The 20,093-nt window shown below is 47.6% G+C and overlaps 1 protein-coding gene across 2 annotated transcripts in view, besides 1 other annotated feature; it reads right to left on the bottom strand.

Moving 5' to 3' along the window:
- TLN2 (talin 2) overlaps positions 1 to 20,093 on the bottom strand; it is a 454,082-nt gene that overhangs the window by 36,913 nt on the left and 397,076 nt on the right. For both annotated transcript variants that reach the window (NM_015059.3, NM_001394547.1), the window contains 6 exons: positions 14,932 to 15,078; positions 11,426 to 11,592; positions 10,317 to 10,500; positions 7,226 to 7,351; positions 6,950 to 7,066; positions 1,934 to 2,119 (listed from right to left, as the gene is read on the bottom strand). In NM_015059.3, the coding sequence (NP_055874.2) occupies positions 1,934 to 2,119; positions 6,950 to 7,066; positions 7,226 to 7,351; positions 10,317 to 10,500; positions 11,426 to 11,592; positions 14,932 to 15,078 (927 nt within the window). The remainder of the gene's footprint in view (positions 1 to 1,933; positions 2,120 to 6,949; positions 7,067 to 7,225; positions 7,352 to 10,316; positions 10,501 to 11,425; positions 11,593 to 14,931; positions 15,079 to 20,093) is intronic.
- Positions 10,961 to 11,461: an enhancer, noted in NCBI's record as "H3K4me1 hESC enhancer chr15:63088457-63088957 (GRCh37/hg19 assembly coordinates)". NCBI's record gives its function as "activates a minimal SCP1, AML or CMV promoter by ChIP-STARR-seq in primed H9 embryonic stem cells {active_cell/tissue: H9 hESC(primed)}" and the evidence as "EXISTENCE:reporter gene assay evidence [ECO:0000049][PMID:30033119]".

The raw sequence follows: 20,093 nt of genomic DNA, 5'->3' as shown, positions 1-20,093 counted from the left end.
AGAGAGGGGCTGAGGATGGGCAAATAGCACCCACACTGTTCTACCTGAGCTCCTCCCCTGAAAACAGGGGAGCACACGTTAGGAGAGACTTAAACATCTGAGCTGCATTCCCTTTAAAAAGACCATTTAATCATGGTTTCTCTTCTGTTCAGTTTCCCCTGTTCACGTCTGTAGCTTGGGGACAAAAGCGTCTGTCACGCATCAACCATAGCGACCTTGAACATTACATCTGGGAGGCCCTGAGTAGCAGAAACAGACTGGCTGAGAAATCAGGAGAGCTAATTTCAGTTCTGGATCTGACAGTAAATAGCTGCGTGACCTTGGTCATGCCACTTCTCTCTCTGAGCCCATTTCATCATGTAACAAACAGAATAATTACTCTCGCCTTTCTCATATGGGATCAAATGAGAGAATATATATGACAGCTCTTCGAAAATTTTGAGATTCCGTGTGTGTACACCACAATGCATGCAGGCCTTTACTCTCTGATTGAGGATGTAACCCCTTTGGCAGTTATCTCTTATGGTAGGTGGACTCCACTGAGCATATCAAAGTGGCCAATACTTGCAGCCTCAGGAGAGAGAGTCCTAACTCCCTCATCTAGCAAGCCCTGCGTCCTGTGTGAAAGCGGAATCTTTCCAGCCCTGTCTTTTCCAACACACCCTCTTCTCTCCACCCTTCATCACACCCAGGGGTCCCATAAATGTGGTACTGTCTCCCAGGGCCAGGCCCTTGCACACAAATTCCGTCATCACCCCCTCCCTTACCTCCCTCTCCTTCTGAGGAGCCACCAAGAAGCCATAAGAGTTGGATCTTGCAGCAGCAACTCCAGCAGAACTCACTTTACCACAAAGAATGGCTCTGCTCCCTGAGACCCCACGCTGTAGGAGCTGGTCTTCAATTCTGCCCTCACTCACCATGGCAGCGGATCATCAATTGATTGCTGAGCAGAAGCCGGAGTCCCTGGGGGCAAGGCTGTCCCAAGAAGGGGGAAGGCCTAGGGTGGGGGCTCTTATAGTTCACTTTCCTAATAGATCAAAAATAAAGGTTCCAGGCCCTGGGTCTCCACAGCTCCCTCACCAAGCACAGGCTCAGGGCAGTTGCTCCAACTATCTACCTAAGGAACAGAGGAATTTTTCCAAGATGTCTAGCACAGACTGTGAAAAGCAGCTCGCCAAGTTCTGCTATATTCCTCCAACTCACTTCCTCACCAGGGATGGCAACACCTCTCCTAGTGCACAATGGCTGACCTATGGGGGTAAACAAGGGTCCAGCGGAAGAGCAAACATTTTCCATTTGGAGGAGCTGGAACCAAGTGCTGCAATCCCTATCCACCACCCTCGGAGAGGCCTCCACCACACTCTGCAAGAAGGCTTCCTGCCTATTTAGGAAGAACTAGAAAGAAGGGGGAGGATTAGGGCCAGCAAGGCTGACTCCATCCCCTCTCAAACACAAAACTGCCTTAGAGAGTCATTTCCCACAGGCTGGTGCGTATGCCATATTCAGCGTGCATTTTTTTTTTTAAACGGACAGGGTTTTGCTCTGTCACCTAGGCTGGAGTGCAGCATAATCATAGCTCACTGCAGCCTTGAACTCCTGGGCTCAAGTGATCCTCCTGCCATAGCTACTATTCTGAGTAGCTAGGACCACAGGTACACACCACCACACTTGGTTACTTAAAAAAAATTTTTTTTAAGAGATGAGGTCTCACTATGTTGCCCAGGCTGGTCTCAAATTCCTGGTCTCAAGCGATCCTCCTGTCTCAGCTCCCAGAGTGTTGGGATTTCAGGCATAAGCCACTACCCCTGGCCCTGTGTGCATTTTTATTACAAAGTTTAAGGTTCTGAGCCCCTCCCCTTTTTCAGACTACACCAAGCAACCCAGTCACGACAGAGAATCATCTGTCCATCCAAAACCATGCCAAGCTCTTTACCTTGCAAGCCGTCAACATATCTGACACGGCTTTCCGGCTCAGGTTGGCAGTAGCAATCACGTCCTCCTGTCTACATGAGTTCCCAGCTGCCACGGCTTTGGCTGTTGCCATGGTGATGCCTTTCGTCATCCTTATGGATTCTTCAGGTGATGATGTCTTTTCAGGTACGTCTTTTGACTGGAACACCTGGAAGTCAGAAACAGAGAGGTTAAAAAAATCAAAAAGGAAACGAAAAAAATAATTTATTCTTCTCCAACCAGGCTGTAGCTTGTGTCTGAAAACTGAGCCAGTAACTGGAAGAAACTGTCACATGGCGAAATTAGAAATTTGAGTACAGTAATATGGTTCTTGTTTTCAAGAATCTCATGGACAAACCTCTTGCACCTACACTAAACATTCATGGGAACAATATGGTGAGGGAGACGTATCTAGAGTGTTAACCTGTTGGTCTGCAGAAACTGACACCCAATATTTACACACTACCCATCCTGTGAAAGGTTGTTGTATGGCTTCATAGTTCTCTTCCCCCATCCCTGCTGGTGCTTTGGCAGTTCCATACACTCTCAGTCCCAGTGCTGGTTTCAGGGCAGGACTGACCTGGCCCCATCACTCAGGACTCACCTCTCTCTCTCTGAGAGGATGTGAGGTTGGGGGAAATGAAGCATCAGTTCCTTCTATTCTTAGCCTGTCTTATAAATATAACTGCATAATTGTGCAGAGGTGTTCACGTCGAGTGCGCCATGGTGACACTGTGAATTATTTAGCAACCCACCGACCCACCCCCTTTAGAGAGGCTGAAATAAATTCACCATGGTAAGTCAATATCCCATTTCTGCTTCATGCTCATCTGTTCTGGCTCTCTAACATGAGTGATTGGTACCCTGGGTATGTGCTGAATGTGCCTCTGTCCCTACACGAGGGCCCCTAGCCTAGGTGGGGCTACCCTGTCTTCAGCCCTAGGCAACCATGTTTCAGCAAGGAAGGCTTCCCTGATGCAGAAGAGTGGGCTCAGTTGGCATCCCATAGAATGCCAACCAATGTCAAACATCACTGCTGAAAATGGGCAACTGCAATTAAGCAGTCCAGGACCCCAAATCCCCACTTCACCCTTGAATGCTACAGCGGAATGAAGGCCACACGTAGAGTCCTTCACACTAATGAGGCCCTCATGGCACGCGCTACATGGAAACCCACGATCTGGGTGAATTTTATTCAGCCAGAATAAAATTCAGTCAACCCGGCTCACAGCAACTTTGACCTCCTGGGCTAAAGTGAGTCTTCCACCTCAGCCTCCTGAGTAGCTGGGATTACTGGTTCAGGCCACCACACCTGGCTAACTTTTTAATTTTTTGTAGAGATGTGGTTTCCCTATGTTGCCCAGGCTGGGCTCAAACTCCTGGGCTCAAGCAATCCTCCTGCCTCAGCCTCCTAAAGTGCTGGAATTACAGGCGTGCGCTGCCATGCCTGGCCTCTGGGTGAATTTTAAATAACACTGGTATACTCAGAATAACCCATGTGTCTGTAGTTTCCCAGGATGGCTCCAAATTTCAAGTCTCTTTGATCACCACCATTAGGCCTGCCTATGCATGTCAGAAGCTATGTTCACAGGGGTACCTGTGTCACCCCACCCCTAGCTTCAGGAGGCTCAGCACAGAGTGACAGAGTCCATTTGTTTGGGAGAAAGTAATTATCTGGTAATCCAGATAATTCTTCTGGATCTTATCCAAGACCATCAAGATGGTACCTTTATGAGTCTGCAAAAACTACAGTGTTACTGAGCTTGGTGTGCCCCCCGATGCAGATACGGCTTAGATCATAACATCCAAGTCCTTTCGAGTACCTGGAAAGCCTTCCCAAGAAAGACAGGCACAAACAAGCCCAGACTGTGAAGACTATAATAAATACCTAACTCTTCAATGTCTAGACACAAATGAACACCTATAAGCATCCAGGAAAACATAACCTCACTGAACCAACTAAATAAGTTACCAGGGACTAATCCTGGGGATATGTGACCTTTCAGACAAAGAATTCAAAAGAGCTGTGCTGAGGAAACTCAGATTCAAGATAACACAAAGAGGGAATCAGAATCCTATCAGATGAATTTAGCAAAGAAATTGAAATAATTAAAAAGAATCAAGCAGATATTCTGGAGCTGAAAATGGCAATTAATATACTGAAGAATGCATAAGCGTCTTTTAATGGCAGAACTGATCACATAGAAGAAATAATTAGTAAGCTTGAAGACAGGCTATTTGAAAACATAGAGGAGACAAAAAAGAATAGAAAACAATGAAGCATGCCTACAGGATCTAGAAAATAGCTTCAAAAGGACAAATTTAAGAGTTATTGGCCTTAAAAAGGAGGTAGAAAAAGAGATGGGGTAGAAAGTTTATTCAAAGAGAACTTCCCAAACCTAGAGAAAGCTATCAATATCCAAGTACAAGAAGGTTATAGAAGACCAACCAGATTTAACCCAAAGAAGACTACTGCAAGGAATTTAATAATCAAACTCCCAAAGGTCAAGGATAAGAAAGGATCCCAAGAGCAGCAAGAGAAAAGAAACAAATAACACACAATGGAGCTCCAATATGCTTAGCAGCAGACTTCTCAGTGGAAGCCTTACAGGCCAGGAGAGAGGGGCATGACATATTTAAAGTCCTGAAGGAAAAAAACATTTACTCCAGAATAGTATAGCTGATGAAAACAGACAAATGGGATTACATCAAGTTAAAAAGCTTTTGCACAGCAAAGGAAACAATCAACCCACAGAACGGGAGAAAACAGTTGCAAACTACATATCTGACAAGGGGTTAATAACTAGCCTATGTAAGGAGCTCAAACAATTCTATAGGAAAAAATATAATAATCAAAAGAAGGGCAAAAGGTCTCAATAGACATTTCTCAAAAGAAGACATACAAACGGCAAACAGGCATATGAAAGGGTGCTCAACATCATTCATCATCAGAGAAATGCAAATCAAAACTACAATGTGATATCATTTCACCCCAGTTAAAATGGCTTATATCCAAAAGGCAGGCAATAACAAATGCTGGCAGGGATGTGGAGAAAAGGGAACCCTTGTTCACTGTGGGTGGGAATGTAAATTAGTACAAACACTATGGAGAAGAGTTTGGAGATTCCTCAAAAAACTAAAATTAGAGCTACTTTGTGATCCAGCAATCCTACTCCTAGGTATACACCCAAAAGAAAGGATATCAGTTTATTAAAGAGATATCTGCACTCCCATGTTTACTGCAGCACTATTCACAATAGCCAAGATCATATATATGAAGTAAACTGCAATAAACATGGGAGTGCAGATATCTCTTCAATATTATATATATGTGTGTGTGTGTGTGTGTGTGTGTGTACCATTGTATATGTGTGTCCATTCATCTGTTGATGGACACTTAGGTTGCTTCCAAATCTTGGCTACTGTGGTACACATACACAATGGAGTACTATTCAGCCATAGGAAAAAAAAAATGAGATCCTATCATTAGCAACAACATGGATGGAACTAGAGGTCATTAAGTGAAATAAGCCAGGCACAGAAAGACACACTTTGCATGTTCTCACTTATTTGTGACAGAAAAAATTAAAATAATTGAACTCATGGAGATAGAGGGTAGAAGGATCGTTGCCAGAGGCTAAGAAGGGTAGTACGGAAGTGGGAGGTCGGGGTGGGGAAGTGGGGAGGGATAATGGCTACAAAAAGTAGAAAGAATGAATAAGACCTAGTATTTGATAGCACAGTGGGTAACTACAGTAAAAAATAATTTAATTGTACATTTAAAAATAACTAAAAGAGTATAATTGGATTGTAACACAAAGCATAAATGCTTGAGATGATGGATACCCCAATTATCCTGATGTGATTATTATGCATTGCATGCCTATATCAAAATATTTCATGTAACTCCTAAGTATATACACCTACTATGTACCCACAAAAATCAAACATAAACAAATAACAAAAAAGGAGCTGTGTCCAGATTTTGGTAGCAAACACCCAGCCTGTGCAGCCAGGCAAGTGCCAGGCAGTGGTACTTAAGGCACCACCAGCTTTTAGGTTACTCCTGTATTTTTTAGATTCTCCTTTAAAGCATGAACTGAGCGCAACATCAATCAAGGCTAGATTCTTTAATGATATGACAAGAAAACCCAAGTTTCTGTCAGCAAAACCCTGCAAAATTGTTCTACTATTGTTTCTAGTGCTCTAGGTCGCTTTTGCAGGTGACCCTTTAAAGGTGCAGAACAATTGGCAGCAAAGGCAGGTATCCCTCTTTCCCAAAAAAGTTGAATCTGTGATCAGACCTCCTATCAAAAAGAAATCTGTTTGAAACTACTCTTTTTGGCATATTTCTATTTGTGGGGATTAGAATGAGCCAATCCACAACCATTGTGGGATCATAAGAACAGCAGATATCATCCACATTGCAGTAACTCCAGAATGTCCTCAACTCTGCAATGCTGGAACAAGTCAGAAAAGAACAGGGTCAATTTCTCTCAGGTCAGATGACTCCAATGGAAAGAAGCTGGATTTTAAAGGGAAGTGTCTCAGGTAAAGGCTTCTAGGCTTTTCCAACAGCAAACGGCAGACTTCCAATTTTGCATGTGTGCGGGTACCAAGAGCAATGTGCATCAAGAAAGGCTAAGCACTGTTCACAGAATTAATGCTCCAGGTAAGCACAGTCATACTGACTTTCCCTTTTTCCAGGAATCTTTGACAATGCTTTGATCTCGTGCTATAATTTTAGTGGAAGTAAACCTGAATAGTCCTAAGTGATACATTTCAATTAACTCCTTGATTACACTTACAAATCAATCCCAGCCAAACTCAGTGACACATGGGGTCTCAATTATATAAAGCTACCAGCAGGCAGGTGAAGGGGCATTCTCAGTTCAGGTGTTTTAGGTAAAACCTCATTGGTAAAAAACCTCAAATGAGCCCTCACTGGGGTCAGCTGTGGGACTCTGGTACCCAAGGGAGGTAACTGCTGGCTCCTTACCGTAAGCTCCTGCTTTATGCATTCAATTGTGGCCTCAAGCGCCCTGGTGCCCCGGGTGGCCTCATCCTCCACTGCCTTTACAGTCTTGAGGAGCGAGGTGACATTGGTCACCATCACCTGCATAGGAAGGGAGAATGAATACAGATAGTGCAGTGACTCAGGTCCAGCCCCTACTCCTTTTACTTCTGGATCGCATGCTATGAGCAAGGACGCCTCTCCTTCCTTTAAGTGAGAAGAGAACTCAGGTGCTCATCCCCAGTCGGAGCCCCACTCTACCTTGGCAGCCCCCTTGAGCTGGTACATGGAAGGGTCGTCCACTGGCTTGCTGGCAGCTCCCTTGGTAGCACTGATGAGATCAGAAAGGGCCTTGGCCACATCTTTGATGGCATTGATCAAAACCACCTGAAAGAGAGCACAGAACTCAGGTGAGCAGGCGTCAAGATGTCAGCTGTGGGCTTTACCAAGGCATGCAGCCTGAGGGCAGGCCAGGGCACGGGGGAGGAGAGAAAGACAGTCTGAAGTCTGCAGCATGGCAGACCTCCTGGGAAGCCACCCTTGGTGATTCTGATACAGGACTCAGGACTTTGAAAAGCTGCCCAGGGGAGGCTGAAGCTGAGCCAGAACGGAGAAGTCAGGTGCAAACATGCAGCTTATGTAAAACCTCCTAGCCAGCAACTTGGCCGATGAGCTGCCTCTGACAGCACAAAGGACACCAGAGAGGCAACACCACTTACTCCTAACTGGCACCCTGAACACTGAGTAAAAATCCCCACCTGACCCCAGCCCTCAAGGCCCCACAACAGCCCTGCCTGCCTCTCTGGCTATGAGGTGCTCTGCTACAGGCACACAGGTCAGCCTGTCTTCTTCTCCATGGGAAATCTCAACTCATTCCTGTTTCGGACCTTTGCTCATTGTTCTAACTGGGACTCAGCTCTTTCCATCACTTGGGCCTTAACTCAAATGTCATGTCCTCAGAGGCTTTTCCCCATCCCTCAGCTAAGGGCCCACTCCCACAATTGCTGAAACTGTCAGGTTGCCGTTTTATTTACAGCACTTATCAGTAGGTGGAATTATTTTATCATTTATTCACTTATAAATCATCTGTCTTCTCCCTCAACTTGAGTGCAAGCTCCAGGAGGCTTGGCCTGGACTTCTGCTTTGTTTCACGCTTGTAACAGGGATGAGCACCCAGCAGGTACTCAGTAAATACTTGTGGAATGAAGATGCAGGTACGTTCCCACATAAACCTGGATGTGATGCATTATCTGTGTTTGCTTTTCTAATTTCACAGAGACCACAGATCATCTTTTCAAAGTGCCGGATTTAGAGTGAAAAGTACCAGGTCTAGATGGGAATTACACAATATTGGGCACTGCATTTAAGCGTTCCCAGTCCAGTAGCTCCAGTAACTCCTATTTCTATAATAATAAAAACATTTTCCCTTTACTGAGGGCAGTGTTCAGGTGCTGAGCCAAGCACTCTACACACATTATCTCATTTACTCCTCGCCACTGCCTTTTCGAGTGGGAACCACAACCCTTATGTCCACACTCCCAGAGCCCAGCAGTGGCAGAGTTGGGATTCAGAGTCTGGTGAGCATGAGGGCCACGGTCTTAACCTCCACACTGCGCCATGCCTGTGTGCGTGGCTCTGGGTCCTCATCCACAGTGAAATTAGCTTGCTAGCCCCATCTACCTCATTAAATTGCTTTGAAGATAAACTGGGATCTCAGATGTGACAACGTATTAAGAGTGCAGTGGCGTGATCTCGGCTCACTGCAACCTCCACCTCCTGGGTTCAAGTGATTCTCCTGCTTCAGCCTCCCGAGTAGCTGGGATTACAGGCACCCACCACCTGTAGCGGAGGTTTTTGTGAATGCTTAGAATTCCAAAAGGCAGCCAATCTGGACTCTGATGTTATCAGAAATCCAACAGAAAGGATGAAATGGTAGCATAAGGAATGTTTCCTCTCGGAGCTGTGCTCCACTCATGGGTGCTGTCAGGGAGGGAAGTGTCATGCCGTGAGGGAACGAGCTGGTGGCCTCAAGTGAACCAGCACAGTCACTGCATCCCCTGGGGGCACTGAATGACAGGGGGTTTCTAACCAGTTTTGTCCAGACAGACTAGTTTACTGAGAATGGTTTAAGGAGTGAAAACTGAAGTGCTTGGCATTTGACGGTTCTGGGAACAGAGAGAACAGAGGTTTTTTTTTTTTGTTTTGTTTTTGTTTTTTAAATTTTGCACTCTGGGAACAGGCATCATCCATTTATTAGCGACTTTTGTTGGCTGTTAGTTCAACAACAGGTGAACATATACTTGTTCAGTAGCCAGTAGCCACTATGTGCCAAGAGCTGTGCCGCATGTGCAGGTTTCAAAGATGAGCAAACTGTGGTGACTGTCCTTGAGGAGCAATGGTCTGGGAAGGGGACCAAGGAACAGGCAAGTAATCTCAATGAAATTGCCAAATATCAGAAGCGGAAGTCACAGAAGCACAGGGCCCTTCCCTAGCCTTCCAGTTCTTCTCTCTCTTCCTTGAGAACCGAAGTTCTCACCTGGGCCATCTACAGGTGCTGAGTTCATTTCCCCACCCCCATCTGGCTGCTGCCCCACCACTCCACACAAGCAGCTGGGGACACCAATGTCCTCGATGGCACTCGATGGTTACCGGAACAGGCCAATAACCAGTTCCCAGTCTTCCCTCTTTCTTAACTCTGTCTCTGGTGGGTTGAAACACTCCATCCTGGCAACATGATGCCCGCGGCTTTCCTCCCTGCAGCAGCTGCTGCTTCTCCGTCTCCTGTGCCACTTGCACGGTAAAGTGGTCCTAAATGCTGGATTCCTCCAGGCTCTGCCCCGACTCCCTGGCTTTTCCTCTCGTGTGGTTGCAGTCGCTACCTCTATGGCAACAGTCGCTGAACCCACAGCCCCGTGCCTGGGCAGGCTCACGCGCACTCACTAGTTCTACCTGTGTGTGGCTCCGGCACTTCAATCTCCTCCACCTCCCCCTGCCCACACCAGCTCTCCCTTCAGGGAGCTCCTGTGCCCTGCTCTGGCCCACAAGGAGCCGCCTTTCACTCCTTCCCCTCCCTCAGGTATGCCGTGCTCCAGCCTTCACCGGGCCAGGCCAAGCCTTCCTTCTAGACTCTTCTCAAATCCCTCCGCTTGTCTCCATCCCCATGGCCACCACCACAGTCTGTGCCACTATCTCGCTTGGATGACTGCCTCCTACCGGTTCCTCAAACCAGACACACTCACACACACATTGTCTACTTCAAAAGTTCCTGTTCTGCCTTAGGCCTCTTCTGAGGCCCGATGTGCAGCGTTCACGGGAAGACCGGGAGGACGCACTCCCCAGGCCCTGCTGGTACCTGGGTCTCGGGGTCGTCGGAGCCCAGGCTGGCTGCCCCCAGCTTGACCACTTCTGCGAGCTGGGTGATGGTGGCTGCTGAGGACTGGGCCGCCTGGGCCAGCTTGTCAGGAGTGGACGCAGCTCCTGACACAAGTAGTTTCGTGTCTTCTACCAAGGCCTTGGCCGTCTTGAGAATGTTCTCCCTGAGAGAGCCAGGAGGGCAGGGGAGAGGGGGAGAGACAGAGGGCAAAGCTTGATTACTTCAAGAAGAAAAGAAATCCCTCACATGGGGCTTTTGTTAAAGGGCTTTGAAGAAGAGAAGTGCTGTGTTACACCTCCCTTTACCAACGGACTCTCATCTTCCACAAATGCAAAACTGGGGGGAGAAGAAGAAAGTCAACCAGTATTCATTCACATAGCCGACTGACATGAAAACTTCAGTGAAAGAGTCAGGCCCACCAACCTGGCTCCCTTCCCAAGCCCTATAGTTCAATGAAAGGTCAGCTTCTTTTCTGTGACTCCCACTGTCCCTTAAAATACTCCATAGCTAGTGACTGTGAGGACACATGGGTTGGGGCACCTTGTTCAGGATCAGAGGCTGGGCTTGGGAAGGGACAGCAGAGCTCTGGGAACTGCCTCCCTAGCCCAGCCCTTGGATTGCAGAGGGGAAGAAAGGTATAGGACATGTGGTGAGGTTTCAGGGGTCCCTAGCAGCAGATAGAGAGGCTGAGTGCAAGCTGAGCAGAGATAGGGGCTTTGAGCCCCTATCTTCCCAAAACAGGGTTTAAGCGAAATATGCCTGCCCCTGCCATTCCCAATCCTGCTGGGGTTGGCCAGCAGTTTGAGGAACGGCTCTCTGGCTCAGCGTGTGGCAGGTCTAAAATCTGTCCTTTGCTGTAGCAGGCTGGATTTAAGGCTGTCAAAGGCAAAGCTCGAACCACGACACTGTGTTTACAGTTGGCAAAGGGGGCTTATTCTGATTACATGGTTCACTTTCCCAACTTGTGCATCTTGTTGAAATCAAAACAGATAACTACATTTCTGGCTCCCAGGTGGCGTCTCCAAGTCGATCATGAGTTTCAGGGGCAGGCCAGCCTGAACCTCTCCCCGTCCAGGACCCCCACGTACCTGTGGTCTGCGAAGGTCTCACTGTTCTCTGCATTCAGCGTCCCCGCTGTTGCAAACATAATGGTGGTGTCCAGGTCGGCAATGATCCCAGACACAGCGGTGGCGGCTGTAATGCATGCCTGGGTTCCTTTGTTCCCGGCCTGGAGAGCCGAGAGCACCAAGGAGACCTGTAGGCAGAAAGGGAATGTGAGGGGAGCTAAGAAATGGAGAGAACAGGACCTAAAAGCAGATTCTGAAAATAATGAATTCTCTCCTAGGAGTTGATGTAGCTTAGAGGTTAACAACACACATCTGGAGTCAACGGCCTCAGTCTGGATACCAGCTTTGCCATTTACAGGCCCTGTGACCTTAGGCAAAGCTGCTTTACCTCTCCAAACCTCAGTTTCCTCATCTGTAAAATGGGGCCACTATTTCTGGCCTATTAGGGTTGTTGAGAGAATTAAGTAGGAAGAAAAATATCTGTAAAGTGTCTAGCAAGGCATTTGGCACATAGTAAGTACTCAGCAGAGGGCAGATGCTATTTATTCAATTACTGCTATGTTTCTGAAACCACAGAACGGGAGAAAGGATTAGACTCCTGTGAAAGGTGTGGCGATTACATCCCCTTTTATTAGGTTTTCAGTAGGAACAGGCCACTGCTAACACTCATCACACCTTTGCTGGGATGGAAATTCTCCAGAATGGAGTTCAGAAGGGCTGGAGTCTAGAGGGGATCTGTGTATGTGACCTCTCCACTTCTAACACTCCTGCAAGCCATCATCCACCCCCGAACCATCATTTCAGTGCCCCGAGGGCCCAGCAAGTTCACTCGGGTGTCTTCCATGTCAGAAATCCTGTGCTGTCACCCTCACCCATCACGTACACCCTCACTGCTCCGAGGTACTTTCCTATGACATAAACCTGACCACACTAACACCCTGCTTACAAATCTCCCCTGGCTGAGCTCCGTTTCTGGTCATGTGTCCGCTTCACCTGGCTCTCACCACACCCGCCAGCTCCTGACTTTCCCAAACACTCCCACCTCTCCACCCTGGGTCTGCGCTCTGCCTGCAACGACTCCTGCCCCTCTCCCGCAGCCACCGAACTAGTTGCCCCGTCAGATGCCAAAGTGAAGGAAGAAGGAAAAGCCACCAAGCACGGATGTATCATCCTGTGCCTCAAGCAGCCTGCAAAACAGCTGAGCCCCGGACACCTCCCCCTGCTCTCCTCTTCCAGAGACAGCCCTGCCTCCCGGGACGCCACAGCACACCGTTCTTGCCCTCAGGATGGCCCAATGCACCCAATGTAAATCGCATGTGTCAGGCTAGTGGCTGGAGGCTCTTTGAGTCTTTGTATTAACCTCTGCGTGCACACACCCACTACCCTTGACTACGACCCAAAGAAGAATCTGACAACGTTTCGTAGGTAGATTTCTTCAAACATGCTGACCAGGGCAGGGGAGTCACTGTGTTACCGTGCCAGCAAGAGGCATGGAGTATGAGACACTCTGTCCCCCGTGCTGCTGAGATCTCAGCAGAGGCTGTGGACACAGTCTGGCAGGAGAGGCACAGGGACCATTTCCTGGGTACCTACCACGTTCCAAGACCAGCCCACAAGGAATTGTTTCTCTTCCTCATCTGCCTTTCTTTCAAATGCTACTAGGTCCTGCCAGGAAAAGACAAGTCAGACTGGCATAGAGCTGGCCGGGAAATGAGGTATCCAGGTTCTGGAAAGCCCCTCAGAGGATGGGTGACAAAGGCCAAGACAAGTATCACGGGAAGCCTGCAGGGTTGTATATGTGTCTGGGAGAGAGACATTCTTAGCCAAGGTGAAAGAAAAAGAGTCCAGAAATAGCATCCCACCCTCTGTGAAGGGTGTGCCAGCCAGCAGGTGTTTACTGAGTATCTGCTAGTCACTAGGGTCTGAGGACACAAAGGCAGACAAGTCATGGCTGTGTGTGGGTACACTATACACACCATCAAGGCATATAACGAGACACAAGGCATAGAGGACAGGGACGCACAGCAAGAAACAGTCAAAAGGCCAGTTGCTAGGAACGAGCCACCTCCTCTCCTTTGGTGGTCCCTCCAGGTGTCCTAAATCAGGGACCCAAAGCCGGGACAGGTAGCGGCCGAGGCCAGCTCAGGAAGACCAAGCTGCTTGGCCATGCCTACAAACACTATGTAGCTCGGACCCCTCTCCTCCCTTCCTGGTGCTCCCGCTATAAGGCCTTTTATGGGGGAACTTGGCAAGAATAACTTCAATAACAAGAAAGGGCTTTGAAAGGAAGGCAAATGCCTTCCTCCAGCTGAGAGATTTATTTCCTCGTCTGTGGAGTCCCAGGAGGCTGGACAGCCCTGTGGGCTATGGGAGAAGGCCAGACTGTAGCTTGGCCTCAGGGAGGGCCACGGACAGAGCAGCCTCTGTGGCAGCAGCTTCCAGTTGAGGGTCCCCCCTGCCCGCCCCTCAAGTCTGTTGCCAAGTTTCTAAACAGGACAGAGCTCTGTGTCCTATGAACCAGAGTTAAGGGAAGGGGAAAAGCCACCAAGCCTGGATGCTTTATCCTGTACCTCAAGCAGCCTGCAAAACAGCTGACCTGAAAAATGATTCCGAGACAAAAAGCAAAGCAAAAGACTCGCATACTGGGGGAGAATAGAAGAGCTACTTGGGAATGAAGAAACATTCAGAGTATGGCGTGGTTAACTGGGGAAAACTGCCTGGGGAAAAAGAAGTTTGGAGGAAAGTTAGAGAAAACAGTAGCTAGATTTATTACATGTGTAACTGTGTGTCTGGCACTGTACCAGGCACTTTTACACATATCAGCACAGTAAATCTTTGCAGTTCTATCAGTCAGATATTATATATTTTTATCCTCATTTTACAGATGAGGAAATCAAGTTGTGGAAAGCTGAAGTACCTTAGCTAAGATCTTAGAGCCTTCTTCACTACCCCATGGGAATCTCTCTACAAACAACTGTCTTTAGAATCAGAAAACCGAGGACAAGTTTCTGCTTCTCCACAAAGGCACACGCCACTGCCCCATGTGGCCTAACCCACCCCCACTTCACTGTCTCATCTGTAAATTAGAGGTTACACCAAAGGGATTTTCACTCCTCCTGACTCAGCCCTCAGCCCTCAGCAGCCTCCTTGAGAAGAAAGATGGTGTCAACAGAGGTTGCAGGAAAGGGCTCTGGCTCCAGGCCTCCCCTGACCAGGGGCTCCTGGCTGCTGATGGGGACTTTGATACAATCTGCCTACGGGGAAGCCCTGCAAGAAGGGGGAGTGCCAGGGCCTGACCTTCATGGGATAGTCCCTCTAAGCCCTCAAATTCTCTGGGCCTATGATCACCCCAGCTCCCTGATGCACCCCATTTTTGGGAGAACCTGGGCAGTGGGGAAGATCGGGATGAGACAGCTGAGTCAGCTGGGTTAGTTTTGGCTGAGTTTCCTGCTTTTGTCCTTGATTACAGCGGATCACTGAGAGCCAGCGCAGGTTCTTGTGACTCTAAACTGAGGGCTGCTCCTTACCTTTTCCGTGACGGCACGGGCGCATTCGATCAGCTCCCTCTTGGTGTAGCTGTCTGTGGGGCAGACCTGGAGGGCCCCTGCCTTCTGCACCAGGAAGATACAGCCGTGGCCCAGGTCCTGCACACGAGTGCGAATCTGGAATCCGATCTGCAGAGGCAAGCCCAGGATGGGGAAGGAGAAGCGTGATGGACTCTGCCATCGAGGCCTTCCCTACGTGGAAAATTTCTCCTATGTCCTATGGGAGCCTGGCTAGGAAAATTCCACTCCTATTAGGAGTCTGTGTTTGGTGAAGTATGGAATTTGGTTGATTTTGCTTCCCTTTTGAGAGACTGTAAAATGCCCAGTCTCTACCTAGCAAGGCTGTATCTTGAGGTCCTAGCGTGATACCCTCCTTGATACATATCTTTCCTGGTTTATAGCTTATCTGCTCCTCCAGCCACCTGGTAAGAATGTTAATTAGAGGAACTTTGTGGGATAATTCTGTTATTCATTCAACAAGCATTTACTGAGCCCCTATTGTGTGTCAAGGCCTCTTCTAAGCAGGTAATGTGTTTAATTTCATTTATTCTTCAAAATAGCTCTAGAGGGTAATTAGAGGTTCAAAATGTGGTTTCCGTATTAAGCATATTTTGAAGTGTTCAGATTCTTGCAAAATTGGTATGTTTACCAACTAGAACACCCCCTTCCCCAGCTGTATCCCATGGGGACAGCGACCATACCAAGCCCAGACTTCCTATCAGGCCAGGTTTGAGGTTTCCTTTAAAAGGTACATTTTTAGAGCTAAAAGCTCAGCAGGCACACATTCTTTTAATAACTCCTGGGTTGTGTGATTATAAAAGGTACTTTGCCTAAGAGAGGCCAAGTGGGCTCCGCTGTGGATTAGCTGCCAGCTGTCTCCTTTAAGGTGTAACAAATTCCACTTCCACCTCCCCGAAGTTTGCATTCCTCCGGCCCTGTTTCACATCAAATTTCATTTTGGTCTGATCGATACAGCTGCCATAAATAATCTGCCTTCCAGCCCAGGTAGGCAACTCAAACCTAACCAAAACTTTAAGCATGGGTCAGTGTTATTTTCAAGAATCTACAAGAGCTAGAAGCTATGGCTTTTATTTTTCCAGCGTCTATCAGGAATAGTTATGAAAAGATCTCAGGTATTGTGAATAAAACCTGGGAGATTTTTGGCCCCCTGGATGCTATCTTCCAATACCATCTCATTAGTCACAGTTAAAGAAAGGGTGACTTTGGAGAATGAGGGGTGCTGCAATTGTTATTTCTCATATTATTGAAACACTGTTTTTAGGGAAAAAACTCTCTTCCTTTAAACCCCTTAAAGGCCCAAAGAACTTTTAAATCCATTTAGTAGAATATTCTCGTGATCGACAAAGTTGAGCTTCTGCTCTTTAGGTGTCTTCTACACACTTTCTTCTTTTTTTTGAGATAGAGTCTTGTTCTGTCACCTAGGCTGGAGGGCAGTGGTGTGGTCTTGGCTCACTGCAATCTCCGCCTCCCAGGTCCAAGCATTCTCCTGCCTCAGCCTCCTGAATAGCTGGGATTACAGGTGGCCACCACAACACCCAGCTAATTTTTGTATTTTTTTTTTTTTAGTAGAGACGGGGTTTCACCATGTTGGCCAGGCTGGTCTCGAACTCCTGACCTCAGGTGATCCGTCCACCTCAAGTGATCCGCCCACCTTGGCCTCCCAAAGTGCTGAGATTACAGGTGTGAGCCACCAGGCCCAGCCAAGCTGCTGCTCTTTTGGGTGCTTTCTATACACTTCTATACACCTTCGTACACAGGGTGCTACAGACATTTCATAATTAAGCAGGGCTGTCTTGTTGACTACCTCCATGCAGAATACAACAGCAGCAGCACCTCTGGACTGCACAACACGGCAGCTCTGCAAACAGATCTGGACTGGTGTAGTAGTATGGCTGCCGCTGAGGCGGGAAAAACACTCCAGCCCACACAGATGTCATGTCATTTAAATATATGTGTTTGCGGGACATGTTTGTTGGTTTGAAAATAATGTTAAGCTGAAGCAGGGGTATACCCCATTAAAGTTTCAAACAATCTGGCTCTTGAAGTGTTCCAGATCCACAGAGTTAAAACCTAAGTATTTCAGGGTAAGATAATCTAGAGGCAAGGGCTCTGAGGTCAGTGATGACCACAGATCTTTAAAGGATAAAGTGCTGCTGGAAAAGTCAAGTAAGAAGGAAATGGAGTTAGAAACATTTATAGAATTTCAAGGTAAAAAAGATCTTACCAGTTCAACCTCCCCATTTTACAGACCCAGAGAAGTGATGTGATTTGCCTAAGATCACACAGCTGGTCCCTGGCAAAACTAGGTGAGAATCCAGGTCTTTAATCCTGAGCACAGTGCTCTACTCGGTAGATCAGTGTTTTTCTAACTTCTTTGATTTTTCGACTTAGCAGCAGAACCCTTCCTCTCCCTCTCGAAATTAAATCTCTTGTGGATCTCAATACGTCAAACGGATAGCAGTAATGGGTTATTAGTATACTCTTCCTTTATGAGTTAAAATGTGTATCTTTGACCCAATAAAAAGCCAAAAATGAGACTGAGTGAATCAAAGTTTTACAGATAAGGTTATGAAGGCTAGTTACAGCCTTAGCCACCAAATTATTTCTGTGTTTTGCTTTGGTGACACAGTGTTGAGAAAATCCTGTTACATGCATAAAGAAAGCAAAGGAGAGCAGTTTCCTCCCAGTTCTTGACCACTGCGGACAAGGCAGATGCAGCAGCAGCAGCCTGAGATCAGCACAAAACTACCCAGCAGCCTGAAGCAAAGCACCGGTGGCCCCCAAGGGGTTCCCATTTGGCCAAGACCACACTCAAAAGCTCCTTTCTGCCACCCACATGAGTGAAAGGTTGACAGCAAGGCGGGTTTTCCTAACAGTTTCTACAATAGTTAAATTAAGTTTAAAAAGTGACACTAGGGGCAAACATGCAGAACCTTCTCCGTGGGTTTTGAAGAACATGGCATGAAACCATGATGCTAGAAGAGACCCAGGCTCTCAAACTTCTCTGTGCACTCCTCCTGCTCCCGTGCAGAGTCCAGCCTGAGCTTTCTATTTGCAAAATGCAAGGCACCGGGACGAACACCTGTATCTTAAATCCCCTTGAGAGTGGGAGGGAGGGAGGACCCGCTCTTGAGCTGTCTTGAACCTGAACCCTATGGGATGACATGATCCATGGTGGGACACATCCTCAACAACACTTTTGTGTTCCCTTAGTGCCACCCCACACCAAAGGCTACGCTCTAAAAACATACCCCAGTGCCCTGCTGCCCGGCCCCTTTCTTGGAGGTGACACGATGCATATAGCAAGGGAGCCTGTATATGATCAATGGTGCAGCTGGCCCAGTGGTCATCAGAAATAAAATTCCAGTTAAGAAGCTCCAAGGAAGGCCAGCACCAGAAAACAAGGGGATGAGAGTAAGTGAGGCAACAGCTGCAAAGGCCTTTGGTGTTCTCAGTCAACCCAGGGCTTTGCCTCCATATTCAGCGCTGTGCCAAGTCACGCAACTGTCATCTAGGTACCTGGAGACCCCCTTGAGGCTCAGCCTCACAGGTATCTTGCATGTGTGTCTGCACAATCCTATTTGGACAGCACACGGAAGGGATGCAGGGTTATCAAGGACAAGCTGAAACAGGCTTCATCCACTGATGTTCATGGGCCAGGAGGGCTGAATTTAAGAGGAAGAATGGGATCTCAGGATTCCCAGCCAGCCCTGTTCTCAATGTTTCACCCCTTTGGGCAGCAGAAAGGACTAGGGACCTTCATCCAGCTCTGCCTTCTCCTTGGGAACCTGACATTCTGGGTGAGCCCATTAACCTTGAGGGGCCTTTGTTCCTTCCCCTGTGACACAGGACAGAAGCTATGTCCCATTCTGGGGGCTGATGGGATGGTCAAATGAACAGGTACATGTGGAAAATCTCAAAAAGATGAAAGTGCCATATGAATGTGTACTGCTGGAAAAGGAGGCAGACTGGTACAGAGAGGCAGCCAGGGTTGTGATGCCCGACTAACCTGGGTTTGAATCCTGGCTACTCCACATATTTACTTGTTAACTTATTTACTTACTTGGAACATTCGCTTATTCCAAAAAGTTATTTAAAGTGGCTCGCATACTAGCGACTGTAGTTGTGTGGTCTTGGGCAGTTTAACTAAGTTCCCTGAGCCTGGGTTTACTTATCTGTGAAATGGGGAAGAAAAAAAGATTGTTATCTCACTGCAGTTGTGAGGAGAAACAAGATTGGGCCCATCACAGCATCTGACATGCGGTAGGACTTGATAAATAATAACTCTCTTACCATTACTTTGCAGAGGCACATGGAACAGCTAGGGCATTTAAATGAAAGAGGACAACAGAACCAACAGTCTACTGGCAATTTCCCAGAACATTTTGTTTTACTAGGGGAACATCCTTGAAAGGAAATTCTTTGTTTCTTTTTTTTGAGATGGAGTTTCGCTCTTTTTGTCTAGGCTGGAGTACAATGGTGCGATCTTGGCTCACTGCAACCTCCGCCACCCGGGTTCAAGCGATTCTCCTGCCTCAGCCTCCTGAATAGCTGAGATTACAGGCACCCCCCACCATGCCCGGCTAATTTTTGTATTTGTAGTAGAGACAGGGTTTCGCCATGTTGCCCAGGCTGGTCTCGAACTCCTGGCCTCAAGTGATCCACTCATCTCGGCCTCCCAAAGTGTTGGGATTACAGGCGTGAGCCACAGAGGAAATTCATTTTTTGAGTCTGTATCCAAAAAGATAAGAGATTTAGACTGGCCACAGTGGCTCACGCCTGTAATCCCAGCACTTTGGGAGGCTGAGATGGGTGGATCACTTGAGGCCAGGAGTTCGAGACCAGCCTGGACAATGTAGCAAAACCCCGTCTCTACTATAAATACAAAAATCAGCCTGGCATGATGGTGGGTGCCTGTAATCTCAGCTACTCAGGAGGCTGAGGCAGGAGAATCGCTTGAACCCGGTGGCGGAGGTTGCAGTGAGCCGAGATCACACCATTGTACTCCAGCCTGGGCGACAGACTCTGTCTCAAAAAAAAAAAAAAAAAAAAAAAGATAAGGAGTTTAAAAATGCTAAGCTTCTCCATGCAATAGTGAGCTTCTCAGTAAATATGACCAGCCC

This window comes from Homo sapiens, chromosome 15 (genome assembly GCF_000001405.40).
Source record: "Homo sapiens chromosome 15, GRCh38.p14 Primary Assembly".
Classification (NCBI taxonomy): Eukaryota; Metazoa; Chordata; class Mammalia; order Primates; family Hominidae; genus Homo; species Homo sapiens.
This window is presented reverse-complemented; position numbering and strand designations above follow the sequence as displayed.